The sequence below is a fragment of the Homo sapiens genome, chromosome 18 (genome assembly GCF_000001405.40).
Source record: "Homo sapiens chromosome 18, GRCh38.p14 Primary Assembly".
Lineage (NCBI taxonomy): Eukaryota > Metazoa > Chordata > Mammalia > Primates > Hominidae > Homo > Homo sapiens.
The window spans coordinates 14066194-14084096 of record NC_000018.10 but is presented as its reverse complement, the minus strand read 5'-3'; the positions used below and the strand labels follow the sequence as shown (position 1 = coordinate 14084096).

Genomic DNA, 17903 nt, shown 5'->3' with positions numbered 1-17903 from the left:
GCTGGTACTCACTGAGGGCCTTGCCTCAGTCCCCTCCCATCTCCATGTCACTGTGACCCAGTGAAATGGGCCTGTGAAGAGGCCATTTGGGGGGTCATCCTGGGCAGGACTATACCCAAGACCTGGGTTGGGGACAGGGAGCGGGTCCTGTGGGGTTAGAGGGATAGGACAGCAGGGATTGTTTAGGGGACACATCGGATGCATTGTCTGCTCCCAGTGGATGAGGATTAAAGAAACTGCACAAATAAGTAGTGTATTTATGTGTAGGTGGAAAATCCTGGACAAAGATTAATAAGGGGAAACTTGTTCTACTTGACTTCATTGTGAATTTGAAGCTCAACCAACTGAATCAGTGTGATTCTGGCCCAAAAGTACTATTGATTTGGCTTTGAACTCCTGGCCTCAAGTAATCCACCGCCTCATGCTCCCAAAGTGCTGGGGTTACAAGTGTGAGCCTCTGCACCTGGCCCTGTAGTGTTGATTTGGACTAGAATGGAATAAATTATTCAAAAATTGATATCATCGAGAAATAAAGGTTGGATTTCATGCAGATGATAAAGGGTGGTTTCATTTCATAATTGCTTTTCAAAAAGTTGAATCAACCTAAGCATTTAACACTAGGAAGTTGTTTAAATCATTGACAGAATATCCATCCCGTGGAAACCTTGTTCATGGAGTGACTCATGTAGCCATTGGGTTAGGTCTTTTTGTTGTTTGTTTGTTCGTTTGTTTTTTTGTTTTGTTTTTGAGACAGAGTCTTGCTCTGTTGCCCAGGCTGGAATGCAGTGGCACAATCTTGGCTCACTGCAACCTCTGCCTCCCAGGTTCAAGCAATTCTCGTGCCTCAGCCTCCCTGGTACCTGGGAATACTGGTGCACATCACCACGCCCGGCTGATTTTTGTATTTTTAGTAGAGATGGCGTTTTGCCTTGTTGGCCAGGCTGGTCTTAAACTCCTGGCCTCATGTGATCCACCTGCCTCAGCCTCTCAAAGTTCTGGGATTATAGGCGTGAGCCACTGCACCTGACCGGGTCTTTTTTTAAAAACACAAAATTTTGTATGTATGCAATTCAGCTGAGACACTGGGGCAGCGAACTGTCTTAACCATCAAGAGATCAAAACCAGGGCAGGCACAGTGGCTCCCAGCACCTTGGCAGGCTGAGACAGGAGGACCACTTGAGGCCAGGAGTTCATAGTCCTGGGCAACATAGTGTGACCCTGTCTCTACAGAATTTTTAAAAATTAGCCAGGCTTGGTGGTATGTGCCTATAGTCCCAGCTACTTGAGTAGCTGATAGAGGAGGATGGCTTGAGCCCAGGAGGTTGAGGCTGGAGGTTGAGGTGGTTGAAGCTTCAGTGAGCTAATTATCGTGCCTCTGCACTCCAGCCTGAGTGATGGAGAGAAAAAAAAAAAAAAGAGGTCAAAGCCAAATTCTGGTACTATCAATTTTTATTAAATATTATTTTATTTTAAACATTACCATATATATATTTGTTTTGTGGTAAAACTCCTAATAATGACACAGTTTGAGACTTGAGAGAAAGGAGCAAAGCAGTCTTTCTTATCATGTCTGCCACTGCCTCAACCAGGAACCACTGTTGTCAGTTCTGTGGCAAGAGTCAGGGAAACTCTCGTAAAAATCCATTTACACATAATTATGTGAGTTGAAAAAATAGTTCGGTGAATCTATTGTTATGTAGTATTCTTTTTTAAAACTATATATCTTGAATCTGTTTTCATGTTAGCAAATATTGAAATACTTGCTTTCTTAGTTCTGTTTGCAAACATTTCATGCTTAATAAGAATTTATATTATGCTGTTCAGCATGCTTATTATTAAATATTTTATTCTGAGATATAATGCTATGATTATTTCTGATTTTTAATCTTTTGATTTAACTAATAAACTAAAGTGGTGTTCTAATTATGAACCATTGCTGTGTTAATGGAATAAAACATTTAACTTATATTAGTGGCTTTAATAAAAATTTCTTAAGCAGTGAAAACATGGCTAAATAGCTAAATTTAAATGGACTAAATTTTATTTATTTTTTTATGTATATCTTTGATGTGGACTAAAGTTACAGTGTTTTATATATTTTATTTTTATTTTCATAGTTTTTAAATAACCTAATATAATATAAACAGTCTTGTTATTTCTTGCAAGATTTACATCTCAAAGAAACTGTATCTGGCATAAAATTTTAAGAACATTTACCCTTAATGTGAATTAAATCTTGTTAGGCTTCAGAAAAACACGTTGGAGACCTTTTAATTTAAATATTTATAAGGATTAATTCGATTTTCTCTTTATTTTTAATATACTTTATTTCTTAGAGAAGTTTAAGGTTCACAGCAAAATCTAGCAGTGTTACAGTCTTCTTGTGTACACCATCCCTCTCTGAAAGTTGTCAGAATTAAAATGGAGTCCCTAATTTAAGAAAACCATAACACATAAAGCTGGGGAAGGCTGTAAAGAAAGGGTTCTCATGCTATATGCCTGATAACAAAAAGTTTCATGAGAGACTGCAGAACATCACAGCCTTGCACAAAGGCCATCACAACCTTACACAAAAAATATTTCTGCAAGGACATCTGCCCAGCAACTGCCTGTCCAGCTTTTGACTAGCATTGCCTTTATTATTGATCTTTGGAGCCAAGGATAATTATTTCAAAACAATTAGGTAATCCTCATTTTTTTCTTTAAAAAGCTATGTCTTCTTTTACCTTCCTAAATATGCACAGTTTATAATGCCCATATGTTCCCATTGCAATACTTTATTTCCCCATTTTTTTTAATTTATAGAGAACATCTCACTGTTTCTTATTTAGGTTGACACCCCCATACATGCATAGTGTCCCCCATTAACAACAACCCCCACAAGAGTGACATGTTTCTTACAATTGATGAGTCTATATTGATACATTATCACCCAAAGTCAATAGTTTGCATTACAGTTGACTTTTGAAATGGTACATTCTGTTAGTTTGGACAAATATATAATGACATGTATCTACTATTATAGAGTTAAACAAAATAGTTTCAGTGCCCTAAAAAGACTCCATGCTCTATTTATTCCTTATTCCCCACAAACTCCACTAATTGTTTCACTGTCTCTATAGTTTTACTGTTTCCAGAATATCAAATTGTTGGTCATATACTATTTAGCCTTTCAGACTGGCTTCTTTCACTTAGTAATAAACACTTAAGTTTCATCCATGTATTTTCAGGCTCGATAGCATATATCATTTTAACACTGAATAATATTTTATTTCTGGATGTACTATCGTTTATCCATTTATCTACTGAACAGCATCTTGACTGCTTCCAAGCTTTGGCAGTTATGAATAAAGCTGCTGTAAAGGTCCATGTGAAGATTTGTGTGGACCTAAGTTTTCAGCATCTTTGGGTAAATACTAAGGACTCTAATTACTGAATCAAATAGTAAGAGCATGTTTAATTTTATAAGAAATTGCCAGCCGGGCACGGTGGCTTATGCCTGTAATCCCAGCACTTTGGGAGAACAAGGCGGGCGCATCATGAGGTCAAGAGATCGAGACCATCCTGGCCAACATGGTGAAACCCCGTCTCTACTAAAAATACAAAAATTAGCTGGGCATGGTGGCGTGTGCCTGTAGTTCCAGCTACTCAGGAGGCTGAGGCAAGAGAATTGCTTGAACCCGGGAGGTGGAGGTTGCAGTGAGCTGGGATCGCGCCACTGCACTCCAGCCTGGTGACGGAGCGAGACTCTGTCTCAAAAAAAAAAAAAAAAAAAAAAAAACTGTCAAATTGTCATCCAAACTGGCTGTACCGTTTTACATTCCCACCAGCATGAATGAGAGATCCTTTCGCTTCACGTCTTTGCCAGCATTTGGTGTTGTCAGTGTTCTAGATTTTGGCCATTATAGGTAAGTGTGTACTGATATATTGTTCTTATTTGTTTTTCCCTGGTGAAATATGACGTGGAGCATCATTTTGTCTGCCTCTTTGTCATCTGTGTGTCTTCTTTGGTGAGGTGTTGGCTAAAGTCTTTGGCTCATTTATTATTTTTTTTAGTTATTTTCTTATTTTTGAGTTTTAAGAGCTACGAGATACATGTTTTATAAATATTTTCCTCCAGTCTATGTCTTTTCTTTTCCATTTCTTGATATTGTCTTTCACAGAGTAGAAATGTTTAATTTTGGTAAATTATATGGTTATCAGTTATTTCTTTTAGGAATTAAATCATTGATGCTGTATCTAAAAAGCCATTGCTAAACTCAGGGTCATCTATAATTCCTGTGTGCTATCTTTTAGGAATTTTAGAGTTTTGTGTTTTACATTTAGACTTGTAATCTATTTTGTGTTCATTTTGGTGAAGATGTTAAGGTCTGTGATTCATATTTTAATATGTATATGTCCAGTTCTTCTAGCACCATCTGTTGAAGAGGCTATCTTAGCTACATTTTATTACCTTAACCTCTGAAGTCAAAGATCTGTGGACTATATTTATGTTGGCCTATTTCTAGGTTCTCTGTTCTTCCCATTGATTTGTCTATTATTTCATCAATACCACACTGTCTTCATAACGGTAGCTTTATTGTAAGTCTTGAAACTAAGTAGTATCTCTGTCCTCCAATTTTATTCTTTTCCTACAATATTGTGTTGGCAATTCTAGGTCTTTTGCCTTTTCATATAAGCTTTAGAGTCAGTTTTAATATCCACAAAATAAGTTCCTGGAATTTTTATTGGAATTACTCTGAATATGTAGATAAATTTGATGAAAACTGCCATCTAGACAATATTGTCTTCCTATCTATGAGCATGGTATATCTCTTCATTTGTTTAGTTCTTCTGTTCTTTTCAACTGATAAGAATATTTATTGGACTACAGGTCTCCCTCCTGTGCTGAGGAGTGGACAATGATGAATGCCATATTCTGTAGACAAGTCACCTCTGTGGGCCACATGTCTGATCACAAACAGGAGGGCCATAGAAAGATACAAACACCAAAGGAAAATTGTGAAATTCAAGAATTGGCAACTGTGTCGGAGGCAACCCCTTTTTTTATTCCAGGGTGCCTGTCACTTCCACCAAAATCTGCCAGCTTATGCCAAGGATACTGGTGCTTCTGCTGTTTGGCTCTGCCTCTTAATTGGCTTTGGGTTTTGTACATCTTGAAGTTAGCCAGATAGTGCTTCTTCATCTTTACCTTGAAGGAAAACTTTTTACACATAAAAAGTTTCAGTCACATAGAACATCTATTAGCTTTTATTTTAGTACTTCCTCTGAAAAAGACCATCTTTGTTTCTCATAATCAAGGATTTTTTTTATTAATTTGATTAATTCTATTGATGGATTTCCAAATGCTGAATCTACTTGCATTCTTGGCATAAAGGCCAGTTGATAATAATATAATGTTTAATGTTCTAACACAATGGTTTCTAATATTTAAAACTTTCACAATTATATTCATATGTTCAATACATCTGAAATACTCTATTTGACTTAACCCAGGCAAAGCTGTCATATCACCCTTATGTAGTCTTCCTAAAAATTATTCTTTAAAACTCTTGAATAATTTAGTTAGCATTTGTTTATTAGTAAAATTTATCTCTGGATCATATGAACATGGTACATTTTTGTGTGAAAGGGACTATTTGATAAATGTCTATTTTTTTCTGTAAATATTGTGCAGTTTGGAGTCTCTACAGCAGTAAATTGATAAAATATGTATTCTTAGAATATATATAATGTACATGTACATGTTAATTTGCATTGAATTATACAGCTTCTCCCCTATTAATTTTTTGTATCAGTACATGACTTCAGGCTCCTATGTGCAGAAGTCCTCAACCCCCAGGCTGCAGACCAGTACCTGTCCATGGCCTGTTAGGAAACTGGCCGCACAGCAGGAGGTGAGTGGTTGGAGAGCGAGCATTGCTGCCTGGGCTCTGCCTCCTTTCAGATCAGCAGTGGCATTAGATTCTCACAGAAGCAGCAAACCCTATTGTGAACTGCTCATGTGAGGGATCTAGGTTGCACACTCCTTATGAGACTGTAATGCCTGATCATCTGAGGTGGAACAGTTTTATCCCGAAACCATCTCCGCAACAACACCTGATCCTGTCCATGGAAAAATTGTCTTCCCATCCATGGAACGGGTCCCAGGTGCCAAAAAGGTTGGGGACGACTGCCTATTTGCACCGTAACCTATTGATACATTCTTTACCAGTCTATTGTATGATCCCATTTCTTTATTCATAATTAAATAATAGTTTGGCTCAGGAATTTGGGGAATAACAGAAAATTAGATTTTCAGCAGGGAACACATCAAGGAAGCATAGAATCCAGTAAGACACACTGCCTTGTGGTCAGTCCCTCATGTCCCAGATCTCAGCATTTCCTGCTCCATCTACATGAGTCCTGTCCCTCCAGGGGTCCTGGAAAAGAAGAACCTCTCCAAAACACTCACATCTCTCTGGAGGCACTCACTAGAAAGTTGTAATTGTTTTTGGTAAACAGTAACTGGGAAAATGGTTTTCAAACTATCTTCAGCTCCCCAAGTGTGTACTGTCATTGTTGCTACAGGTGAAATGATTATTGCAGTTTCGAGGGGAGATGATGTCACAAGATCTCGAACCCATATCTCAGAACCGCCTGCCTCCTCCCACACACTCTGGCTGTCCTGACCATCACTTCAAGCCCACCAGCCCTGCAGCAAAAAAAATCAAACGAGTAGTTCAGAAGGCAAAGTCTGCAAGGGAAGGAAGTATATTGGGAGGTACAGTAAGTATTCCTGTCTGGAGAAGGTCTTCTTTGGGGCTAGAAACTGAGCCAGTGCTAAAGCCATGCAGGAAGGAGGAAATAATCAGTGAGCCACGGGCTGAACTTGTGGAAAAGAAATGGAGGGCAAGGTCACAAACCAGTCCCTAACTGCTTCTAATTTAATGTAATCCTCACTGTTTGTCATTATTGCTTTTGATGGCCATGAAATCTGTTTTTTCCCAGTTCTCTAGTGTAATTTGGAATTAATTTCCCAGCTGCTTTATTTTTTTTCTAGAAGAGTCGGGGACATTTTCAGGATTAGTAGAGGTGTTTCTACAACACCTTCATGCCTTCGATAGTGTGTAAGAGTTCACCAATTGAATTACCTTATTCTGTTCAGAAGTAGTAACTATGGAGTTTAACCACTCTGGACATATTATATACTTAATGGAGACCATAGCTGTGTGGTGACTGAAAACATGCATTGTCTACTCCTTATGGTGAGACTGCTTTCCTTCATGAAGTCAGTAAAGAAGGGTAACTTTTCTGTAGATTTTTGTATTTTTAAAAAAGGTCAAGATCTTCGGCAGTTTTCTGAATTGAATTGTTTGTGATATTTGCTCTGTTTTTAAAATCTTCTAAGGCCATTACCAGGTTCAGTGCTTATCTTAGTACAATTTAAATTGATTCCGTGAATAATTTTTCCTGCCTCCAGTTTCCCTTTTACATAGTGGGCTCATGTTTTAATATGTTAAACAATTCTGACATTGAAATAATTTTATTTTATATTTTTGCATCCACAAATACTAATTTTCTCCATATATTAATGGTGATGTAGTTTCTCCTCTGCAATATTTTATTGCCTACTCATGTTTTATGTCCCCTGGATTACAGCACTGTCATTCCACTGTGCCCTATTTCTTGGTTATGATGAAAAGACTCTTAATTCCAGTATGAAATCATTTCTGCATTCCATAAATTTCATTTGGCATCTGTGGAATTAAGGCATCTTCATTGTATTTGGATCTCTGAATCATAAGTGATATTTGCCTATAAATTAAGCAATGATATTTAAATAAGAGATTACCACAATCATATTTTATAAATATACAACCATTTTTAAAAACCTGACAAAATCTACAAAAAAAAGAAAATGAAATATATGTGGAGTTTTAGAAAAGACTGACTAGGTCCAAGGTTGAGGCACATAGTGGTTAAGCACATTGTCAGCTCCGGACTCTGCCTCTTACAAGGAAGGAGGGGGCTTTAGATGTTATTTAGCTGTTATTTAGCCTTTCTACACCTAAGTTCCCCTCACCTGTAAAAAAAAAAATAATAATAAATTGCTTACTTTGTAGAATCATTGTAAATGTTCTATGTAAAATATGAATATAGTACTCACAGTAAATATGTGTGTGTGTGGTGTGTGGTGTGTGGTGTGTAGTTCAGCAATAGAAAATGGAATTTAATAAGAACGTTATGAGTTGAAAACAATGGTCTGTGGACAATATTGAATTTCAGTTGCCAAAATAAAATAGACCTCATGTTTCCCTTCAGGATCCTCTAACTCTGAATATGAATAGAAGTATCAGTCACTGGAAAAGAACAAATGTCCTCTAGGGATGTGGCAATAGGAATAATCTTATCTCAGACCATAATTGGGTTCCTGATGAAAATATTTTTTCTTTAGCATTGTATTTCTCTTTATTTCACCAAATGCACATTAAGGTCTACAGATCTGATTCTCAAACACCTGGCTGTAGCCACCTCCTTTGTGATACTTTATAAAGGAGCCCCACAGAGAATGCCTGCTTTTGGGTTGAAACATTTTCTCAATCATAATTAGGTACAAACTTGTTTTCTATGTTCACAAAGTGGGCAGGGCTGTGTGCATTGGCACCACTTGCCTTTTGAATATCTTCTAGGCCATCACAGTCAGCCCCATGTACTCCTGCTGGGCAGACCTGAAACTACAAGCTCCCAAATAGAATGGGTGCTCCAACATCCTCTGCTGGATTGTGATATGCTGGTAACCGCACGTGACTGGCAAGTGGAATGGCGAAAACAACACAAAGAAGGATTTGGTTACTGTTCTGCAGTAGTTAATAACTGATATGGTTTGGCTATGTCCCCACTCAAACCTCATCTTGAATTCCTATGTGTTGTGGGAGGAACTTGGTGGGAGGTGATTGAATTATGGGGGCAGGTCTTTTCTGTATTGTTCTCGGGATGGTGAATGAGTCTCATGAGACCTGATGGTTTTAAAAACAGGAGTTTCCCTGTACAAGCTCTCTCTTTGCCTGCTCCCATCCATGTAAGACCTGACTTGCTCCTGCTTACCTTCCGCCATGATTGTGAGGCCTCCCCAACCATGTGGAACTGAAAGTTTGTTAAACCTTTTTTTCTTCCCAGTCTTGGGTATGTCTTTATCAGCAATGTGAAAAAAAATGGACTAATACAGCAAAGTGGTATCAGTAGAGTGGGGTGCTGCTGAAAAGATACCCAAAAATTTGGAAGCGACTTTGGAACTGGGTAACAGGGAAAGGTTGGAATACTTGAGATGGCTCAAAAGAAGAAAGGAAAATGTGGGAAAGTTTGGAACTTCCTAGAGACTTGTTGAATGGTTTTACCCAAAATGCTGATAGCAATAAAGTCCAGGCTAAGGTGGTCTCAGATGGAGATGAGGAACTTGTTGGAAACTGGAGCAAAGGTGACTCTCGTTATGTTTTAGCAAAGAGACTGATGGTATTTTGCCCCTGCCCTAGAGATTTGTGGAACTTTGAACTTGAGAGAGATGATTTAGGGTATCTGGCAGAAGAAATTTCTAAGCAGCAAAGCATTCAAGAGGTGACTTGGGTGCTGTTAAAGGCATTCATTTTTTAAATCAATACCTCCTGAAGTCCTCCTGAGAGCGCCAGATATGCATTCGGGCCACATGGAGCAGAAAAGGAGGGCTCCATCACTCCCTGCTGGCCATCAGGGTGCAGTGCAGGACACTCAGAGCTCAATACTTAGTTGTTTCCCAGTGCCCCCTGCTAGACCTCCTACCGAATCCTGAAATTCTCAATTTCTTGATCTGTCTGCTCCTTTGGCTGAACATGCGTCAAATCCACGGGAGCATCACAAAAGGATTCTTTCTCAGTCATGCCTGTGTGATAGGACCTTCTTCCAGTTTCTTTCAAAAATTGAAAAAAACATCTGAATGATGCAGTCTACACTTCTATCCTCAGACTCTGCTGCAGAGCTTCATCCTGCAGGACACAGATGACTACAGGGCTGTTTGAGATGGAATCTTCCTTTCTAAATCTTCTAGGTTTGATCACAGTCACAAATGAGCAGAGCAGATGAAAGTGAAAAATCTTCTGGCTTGTCCCTATTTGGGGAGAGCTCTCCAGAAGTATTTTCAAGAAATTAGTAGCTATTCGAGGGAGTGAAATACAGCTGGTTTGCCTTCGAGAAAGGAAAGTGAAGTGTGCTTTTGTTTCCTCTCATTTAACAGTTGCAAAAGGCAAATTATAAAATAGGAATACTCATGACACTTTCTTATAAATACTGCTAAACAAAATAATCTACATTCATATTTTTGTACTGGTAAAATATCTGAAAGCAAAATCATGGGAAGATATTTAAGTATATTATACATCATGAATTTCAAAAACAGAGTGAAGATCATGATACAGGTTTCTTATATGAATAACTGTATGGTTTATATTTTCCTTCGCCTTTTGAAATACTCAGGAAATGTTTGTTGTACACAGAATTTGAATAAAAATTGTCCAGGCCAGGTGCAGTGGCTCACACCTATAATCCCAGCACTTTGGGAGGCCAAGGCAGGCAGATCACCTGAGGTCAGAAGTTCAAGACCAGCCTGACCAATATGGTGAAACCTTGCCTCTACTAAAAATGCAAACATTAGCTGGGCGTGATGGCAAGTGCCTGTAGTCCCAGCTACTTGAGAGGCTGAGATAGGAGAATTGCTTGAACCCAGGAGGCGGAGGTTGCAGTGAGCCGAGATTGTGCCACTGCACTCCAGCCTGGGCGACAGAGTGAGACTCCATCTCAAAATAAATAAATAAATAAATAAATAAATAAATAAATAAATAAATATAAAAATAAAAATTTCCATGCAAACTTTTCTTCAATATATTTTTGTTACAGTTAACGTAAAATTAGCTGTTGTAATAGACAAACCTGAATTTATCAGCAGTTTGATCATCATGTAATATTTATCATTGCTGGCATATACCACCTCAACACAGGCTTTCAAATGTCATGTGACTCTGCTTGTGGATTTTCCTCCAAATATGGATTTAGGGACCCCCATACCTTCTATTGGTGTATTTCTCATTGCTAACCTGTGTCTTCAAATCTGGCTATGGTGCTTGGGAAAATTTCATGCAGTTGTATGGCAAAAAATATTTGGGGCTTCACAGAGGGTGTTTTCACAGGTCAGGCCTGTACCAGGTAAATGTCGTTTCCACCCACTCAGCTAGGATGCTTGTATGGCCAGACCTCAGAACAAAAAGCCTGGGGAAGGGAGTCTTGAACTGTGAGACCAGCGGGAATACAAGATTGGTCTGGTGAATAAGACCACTGTTTTTCTTACACTATGTGAAAAAAATGCTGTTAATATGAGCAACAGCCGGTTTTCCTGCTTTCATACATTTACGCAAGAAAATGTGACTTAAAATCTAATTCCACAGATTAAACCTAGAGAATATATTTCAGGGAAGAGGGCAAAAAGGTCAATCAATAAGGCTCACACTGTTGACCATCTGAAAGGGGATTCCCATTGAATCCCAAAAGCACAGAGTAGAGTTGAAATATTCCCTAGACAAGTGTTGTCAAAAAAAATATGAAAGTACATTACATATGTAGGAATATTTAGATATGAACTGACACTAGTGCCAACACTCAGTCACCACGAGAGGCCCTCAAGCATCCAGGATAGCCTGTTCTTCCCTCAGCATAACCATAATGTAACAAGCTAACCTTTTCACAAAGGGTGGCTATGATTATAAACCGAGTATCAGTAATGAGTTAACACAGGCAACGATAATATCTTGCTACTGTAACTTAAAAACGTGTTTTTATGTCCATCAAAATCAAGTAGTGATTGTGCATAAAATTTTGTAATATTTAAGGGTTAGGTATCCATCAAACATGTTACAGACCAGGCAGTTACTCCAGAAATACCTTTAAAAGGAGAGAATTATTGCAAACCACATAAGATATTTAGTCTGCATTAGGAAATGAAAATGCAAGAAACATTCTGCAATGTGGAATGAACAAATATGATTCCTTAAAATGCATAAAACTCAGCAAGGACAGAAAACCACGCTGTTTCTCCACTGTGCTGCAAACACAGTGGTCAACAAAACCACATTAACATTTTGCCATGCCTTTGTCAATAACTTTTCTTGGCAGCCTCAGATATAGCCTTCACTTGCAAGACAAGTTGAAAGGGTCTTGTAACATCTTTCTCTTTTGAAAACCAATTTATCAAAATGAAAACCTTTTATTGTTGATTTCACCATAAAGTTAGTAGAATCTCAGAAAAGATACAGATAATGCATATGTGTCTGAGAAAGAGCTCCTGTAAAGCCCAACACCAAATACAGGTCATATCATAGAAGTATTGGTGTCCTGCATTTTGCTCTTGTAATTATACCTGCGTTTATTACTCTGGGGAGATTCTCAGGACCAGCATTGCTGCATTTTGCTTTTCTATATTTTAGTTGTTAATAGATATTGTTTGGTTGCCAACCCCTAAATGTGGAACACTTTATAATCGTAATATGCAAGGTATGAGAACACAGTACTTCTTTCATCATCTGTGATGTATGATTATTCACCCTAATTTTCTTGAGTCTGAGCAGTTTAACGGAGGTATATTTTTATTAGTTCACTATTGTTTAAATTTCTTGTCTTTTCATGCTAAAAGGAAAGTTGATATTTATCTATATCTATGTCTGTATATGCATGTATATCTATAGAAGTAGATCCATTTGTTTGAACAACCCTCTGTAATTAATTGTGATGAATTATGCCTGTTTTAGAAAGTATTTTGTACACATATTTTTAATAAAAATTTTCCCCCCGAATATTTAACCAGTATGACATTAAAAGAGTCAGGAATTTGTCTCTCACTTTATTTTCTTTTTGTGGATCACCAATTATTTTTGGATTATTCATTAAATAAAGAATCCTCTCACTGAGGTTAAATCTATAATTTTATATATATATATATTTTTTTATTATACTTTAAGTTCTATGGTACAGGTGCACAATGTGCAGGTTTGTTACATATGTATACATGTGCCATGTTGGTGTGCTGCACCCATTACCTTGTCATTTACATTAGGGGTATCTCCTAATGCTATCCCTCCCCACTTCCCCCACCCCACAACAGGCCCCAGTGTTTGATGTTCCCCTTCCTGTGTCCAAGTGTTCTCTTTGTTCAATTCCCACCTATGAGTGAGAACATGCGGTGTTTGGTTTTTTGTCCTTGCGATAGTTTGCTGAGAATGATGGTTTCCAGCTTTATCCATGTCCCTACAAAGGACATGAACTCATCCTTTTTTATGGCTGCATAGTATTCCACGGTGTATATGTGCCACATTTTCTTAATCCAGTCTATCATTGTTGGACATTTGGGTTGGTTCCAAGTCTTTGCTATTGTGAATAGTGCCGCAGTAAACATATGTGTGCATGTGTCTTTATAGCAACATGATTTATAATCCTTTGGGTATATACCCAGTAATAGGATGGCAGGGTCAAATGGTATTTCTAGTTCTAGATCCCTGAGGAATCGCCACACTGTTTTCCACAATGGTTGAAATAGTTTACAGTCCCACCAACAGTGTAAAAGTGTTCCTATTTCTCTACATCCTCTCCAGCACCTGTTGTTTCCTGACTTTTTAATGACGGCCATTCTAACTGGTGTGAGATGTTATCTCATTGTGATTTTGATTTGCATTTCTCTGATGACCAGTGATGATGAGCATTTTTTCGTGTGTCTGTTGGCTGCATAAATGTCTTCTTTTGAGAAGTGTCTTTTCATATCCTTTGCCCACTTGTTGATGGGGTTGTTTGTTTTTTCTTGTAGATTTATTTGAGTTCTTTGTAGATTCTGGATATTAGCCCTTTGTCAGATGGAGAGATTGCAAAAATTTTGTCCCATTCTGTAGGTTGCCTGTTCACTCTGACGGTTTAATTAGATCCCATTTGTCAATTTTGGCTTTTGTTGCCATTGATTTTTGGTGTTTTAGACATGAAGTCCTTGCCCATGCTTATGTCCTGAATAGTATTGCCTAGGTTTTCTTCTAGAGTTTTTATGGTTTTAGGTCTAACATTTAGTCTTTAATCCATCTTAAATTAATTTTTATATAAGGTGTAAGGAAGGGATCCAGTTTCAGCTTTCTACATATGGCTAGCCAGTTTTCCTAGCACCATTTATTAAATAGGGAATCCTTTCCCCATTGCTTGTTTCTGTCAGGTTTGTCAAAGATCAGATAGTTGTAGATGTGTGGTATTATTTCTGAGGGCTCTGTTGTGTTCCATTGGTCTGTATCTCTGTTTTGGTACCAGTATCATGTTGTTTTGGTTACTGTAGCCTTGTAATATAGTTTGAAGTCAAGTAGCGTGATGCTTCCAGCTTTGTTCTTTTGGCTTAGGATTGACTTCGCAATGTGGGCTCTTTTTTGGTTCCAATGAACTTTAAAGTAGTTTTCTCCAATTCTGTGAAGAAAGTCATTGGTAGCTTGATGGGGATAGCATTGAATCTATAAATTACCTTGGGCAGTATACCCATTTTCACAATATTGATTCTTCCTATCCATGAGCATGGAATGTTCTTCCATTTGTTTATGTCCTCTTTTATTTTGTTGAGCAGTGGTTTGTAGTACTCCTTGAAGAGGTCCTTCAAATCCCTAGTAAGTTGCATTCCTAGGTATTTTATTCTCTTTGAAGCAATTGTGAATGGGAGTTCACTCATGATTTGGCTCTCTGTTTGCCTGTTATTGGTGTATAAGAATGCTTGTGATTTTTGCACATTGATTTTGTATCCTGAGACTTTGCTGAAGTTGCTTATCAGCTTAAGGAGATTTTGGGCTGAGACAACAGGGTTTTCTAGATATACAATCATGTCATCTGCAAACAGGGACAATTTGACTTCCTCTTTTCCTAATTGAATACCCTTTATTTCCTTCTCCTGCCTGATTGCCCTGGCCAGAACTTCCAAAACTGTGTTGAATAGGAGTGGTGAGAGAGGGCATCCCTGTCTTGTGCCCGTTTTCAAAGGGAATGCTTCCAGTTTTTGTCCATTCAGTATGATATTGGCTGTGGATTTGTCATAGATAGCTCTTATTATTTTGAGATACGTCCCATCAATACCTAATTTATTGAGAGTTTCTAGCATGAAGGGTGGTTGAATTTTGTCAAAGGCCTTTTCTGCATCTATTGAGATAATCATGTGGTTTTTGTCTTTGGTTCTGTTTATATGATGGATTACGTTTATTGATTTTCGTATGTTGAACCAGCCTTGCATCCCAGGGATGACGCCCACTTGATCATGGTGGATAAGCTTTTTGATGTGCTGCTGGATTCGGTTTGCCAGTATCTTATTGAGGATTTTTGCGTCGATGTTCATCAGGGATATTGGTCTAGAATTCTCCTTTTTTGTTGTGTCTCTGCCAGGCTTTGGTATCAGGATGATGCTGGCCTCATAAAATGAGTTAGGGAGGATTCCCTCTTTTTCTATTGATTGGAATAGTTTCAGAAGGAATGGTACCAGCTCCTCCTTGTACCTCTGGTAGAATTCGGCTGTGAATCCATCTGGTCCTGCATTCTTTTTGGTTGGTAAGCTATTAATTATTGCCTCAATTTCAGAGCTGTTATTGGTCTATTCAGAGATTCAACTTCCTCCTGGTTTAGTCTTGGGAGGGTGTATGTGTCCAAGAATTTATCCATTTCTTCTAGATTTTCTATTTTATTTGCATAGAGGAGTTTATAGTATTCTCTGATGGTAGTTTGTATTTCTGTGGGATCAGTGGTGATATCTGTTTTATCATTTTTTATTGTGTCTATTTGATTCTTCTTTCTTTTCTTCTTTATTAGTCTTGCTAGCGGTCTATCAATTTTGTTGATCTTTTCAAAAAACCAGCTCCTGGATTTATTGATTTTTTGAAGGGTTTTTTTTATGTCTCTATCTCCTTCAGTTCTGCTCTGATCTTAGTTATTTCTTGCCTTCTGCTAGCTTTTGAATATGTTTGCTCTTGCTTCTCTAGTTCTTTTAATTGTGATGTTAGGGTGTCAGTTTTAGATCTTTGCTGCTATCTCTTGTGGGCATTTAGTGTTATAAATTTCCCTCTACACACTGCTTTGAATGTGCCCCAGAGATTCTGGTATCTTGTGTCTTTGTTCTCGTTGGTTTCAAAGAACATCTTTATTTCTGCCTTCATTTCATTATGTACCCAGTAGTCATTCAGGAGCAGGTTGTTCTGTTTCCATATACTTAAGTGGTTTTGAGTGAGTTTCTTAATCCTGAGTTCTAGTTTGATTGCACTGTGTTCTGAGAGACAGTTTGTTATAATTTCTGTTCTTTTACATTTGCTGAGGAGTGCTTTACTTCCAACTATGTGGTCAATTTTGGAATAAGTGCAATGTAGTGCTGACAAGAATGTATATTCTGTTGATTTGGGGTGGTGAGTTCTGTAGATGTCTTTTAGGTCTGCTTAGTGCAGAGCTGAGTTCAATTCCTGGATATCCTTGTTAACTTTCTGTCTCATTGATCTGTCTAATGTTGACAGTGTGTTGTCTAAGTCTCCCATTATTATTGTGTGGGAGTCTAAGTCTCTTTGTAGGTCTCTAAGGACTTGCCTTATGAATCTGGGTGCTCCTGTATTGGGTGCATATATATTTAGGATAGTTAGCTCTTCTTGTTGAATTGATCCCTTTACCATTATGTAATGGCCTTCTTTGTTTCTTTTGATCTTTGTTGGTTTAAAGTCTCTTTTATCAGAGACTAGGATTGCAACCCCTGCCTTTTTTTGTTTTCCATTTGCTTGGTAGATCTTCCTCCATCCCTTTGTTTTGAGCCTATGTGTGTCTCTGCACGTGAGATGTGTCTCTTGAATACAGCACACTGATGGGTCTTGACTCTTTATCCAATTCGCCAGTCTGTGTCTTTTAATTGGAACATTTAGCCCATTTACATTTAAGGTTAATATTGTTATGTGTGAATTTGATCCTGTCATTATGATGTTAGCTGGTTATTTTGCTCGTTACTTGATGCAGTTTCTTTCTAGTATCGATGGTCTTTACAATTTGGCATGTTTTTGCAGTGGCTGTTACCAGTTGTTCCTTTCCATGTTTAGTGCTTCCTTCAGGAGCTCTTGTAGGGCAGGCCTGGTGGTGACAAAATCTCTCAGCATTTGTTTGTCTGTAAAGTATTTTATTTCTCCTTCAGTTATGAAGCTTAGTTTGGCTGGATATGAAATTCTGGGTTGAAAATTCTTTTCTTTAAAAATGTTGAATATTGGTCCCCACTCTCTTCTGGCTTGTAGAGTTTCTGCTGAGAGATCCACTGTTAGTCTGATGGGCTTCCCTTTGTGGGTAACCCGACCTTTCTCTCTGGCTGCCCTTAACATTTTTTCCTTCATTTCAACTTTGGTGAATCTGACAATTATGTGTCTTGGAGTTGCTCTTCTCGAGGAGTATCTTTGTGGCATTCTCTGTATCTCCTGAATTTGAATGTTGGCCTGCCTTGCTAGGTTGGGGAAGTTCTCCTGGGTAATATCCTGCAGAGTGTTTTCCAACTTGGTTCCATTCTCCCCGTCACTTTCATGTACACCAATCAGACATAGATTTGGTCTTTTCACATAGTCCCATATTTCTTGGAGGCTTTGTTCGTTTCTTTTTATTCTTTTTTCTCTAAACTTCTCTTCTTGCTTCACTTCATTCATTTGATCTTCCATCACTGATACCCTTTCTTACAGCTGATCAAATTGGCTACTGAAGCTTGTGCATTCGTCATGTCATTCTCGTGCCATGGTTTTTAGCTCCATCAGGTCATTTAAGGCCTTCTCTACTTTGGTTATTCTAGTTAGCCATTCGTCTAATCTTTTTTCAAGGTTTTCAACTTCTTTGCGATGGGT

General features: G+C 38.1%; 1 protein-coding gene and 1 pseudogene across 1 annotated transcript in view; both read left to right on the top strand.

Moving 5' to 3' along the window:
* The window catches only part of ZNF519 (zinc finger protein 519), a 61315-nt gene extending 48339 nt beyond the window's left edge, over positions 1–12976 (top strand). Inside the window, exons 4-6 of the transcript NR_033354.2 lie at positions 3831–3908; positions 5799–5897; positions 6571–12976. The gene's annotated coding sequence lies outside the window, so the exon portion shown is untranslated. The remainder of the gene's footprint in view (positions 1–3830; positions 3909–5798; positions 5898–6570) is intronic.
* VN1R73P (vomeronasal 1 receptor 73 pseudogene) lies at positions 8357–8857 on the top strand (annotated as a pseudogene).
* Positions 12977–17903: the final 4927 nt, after the last annotated feature.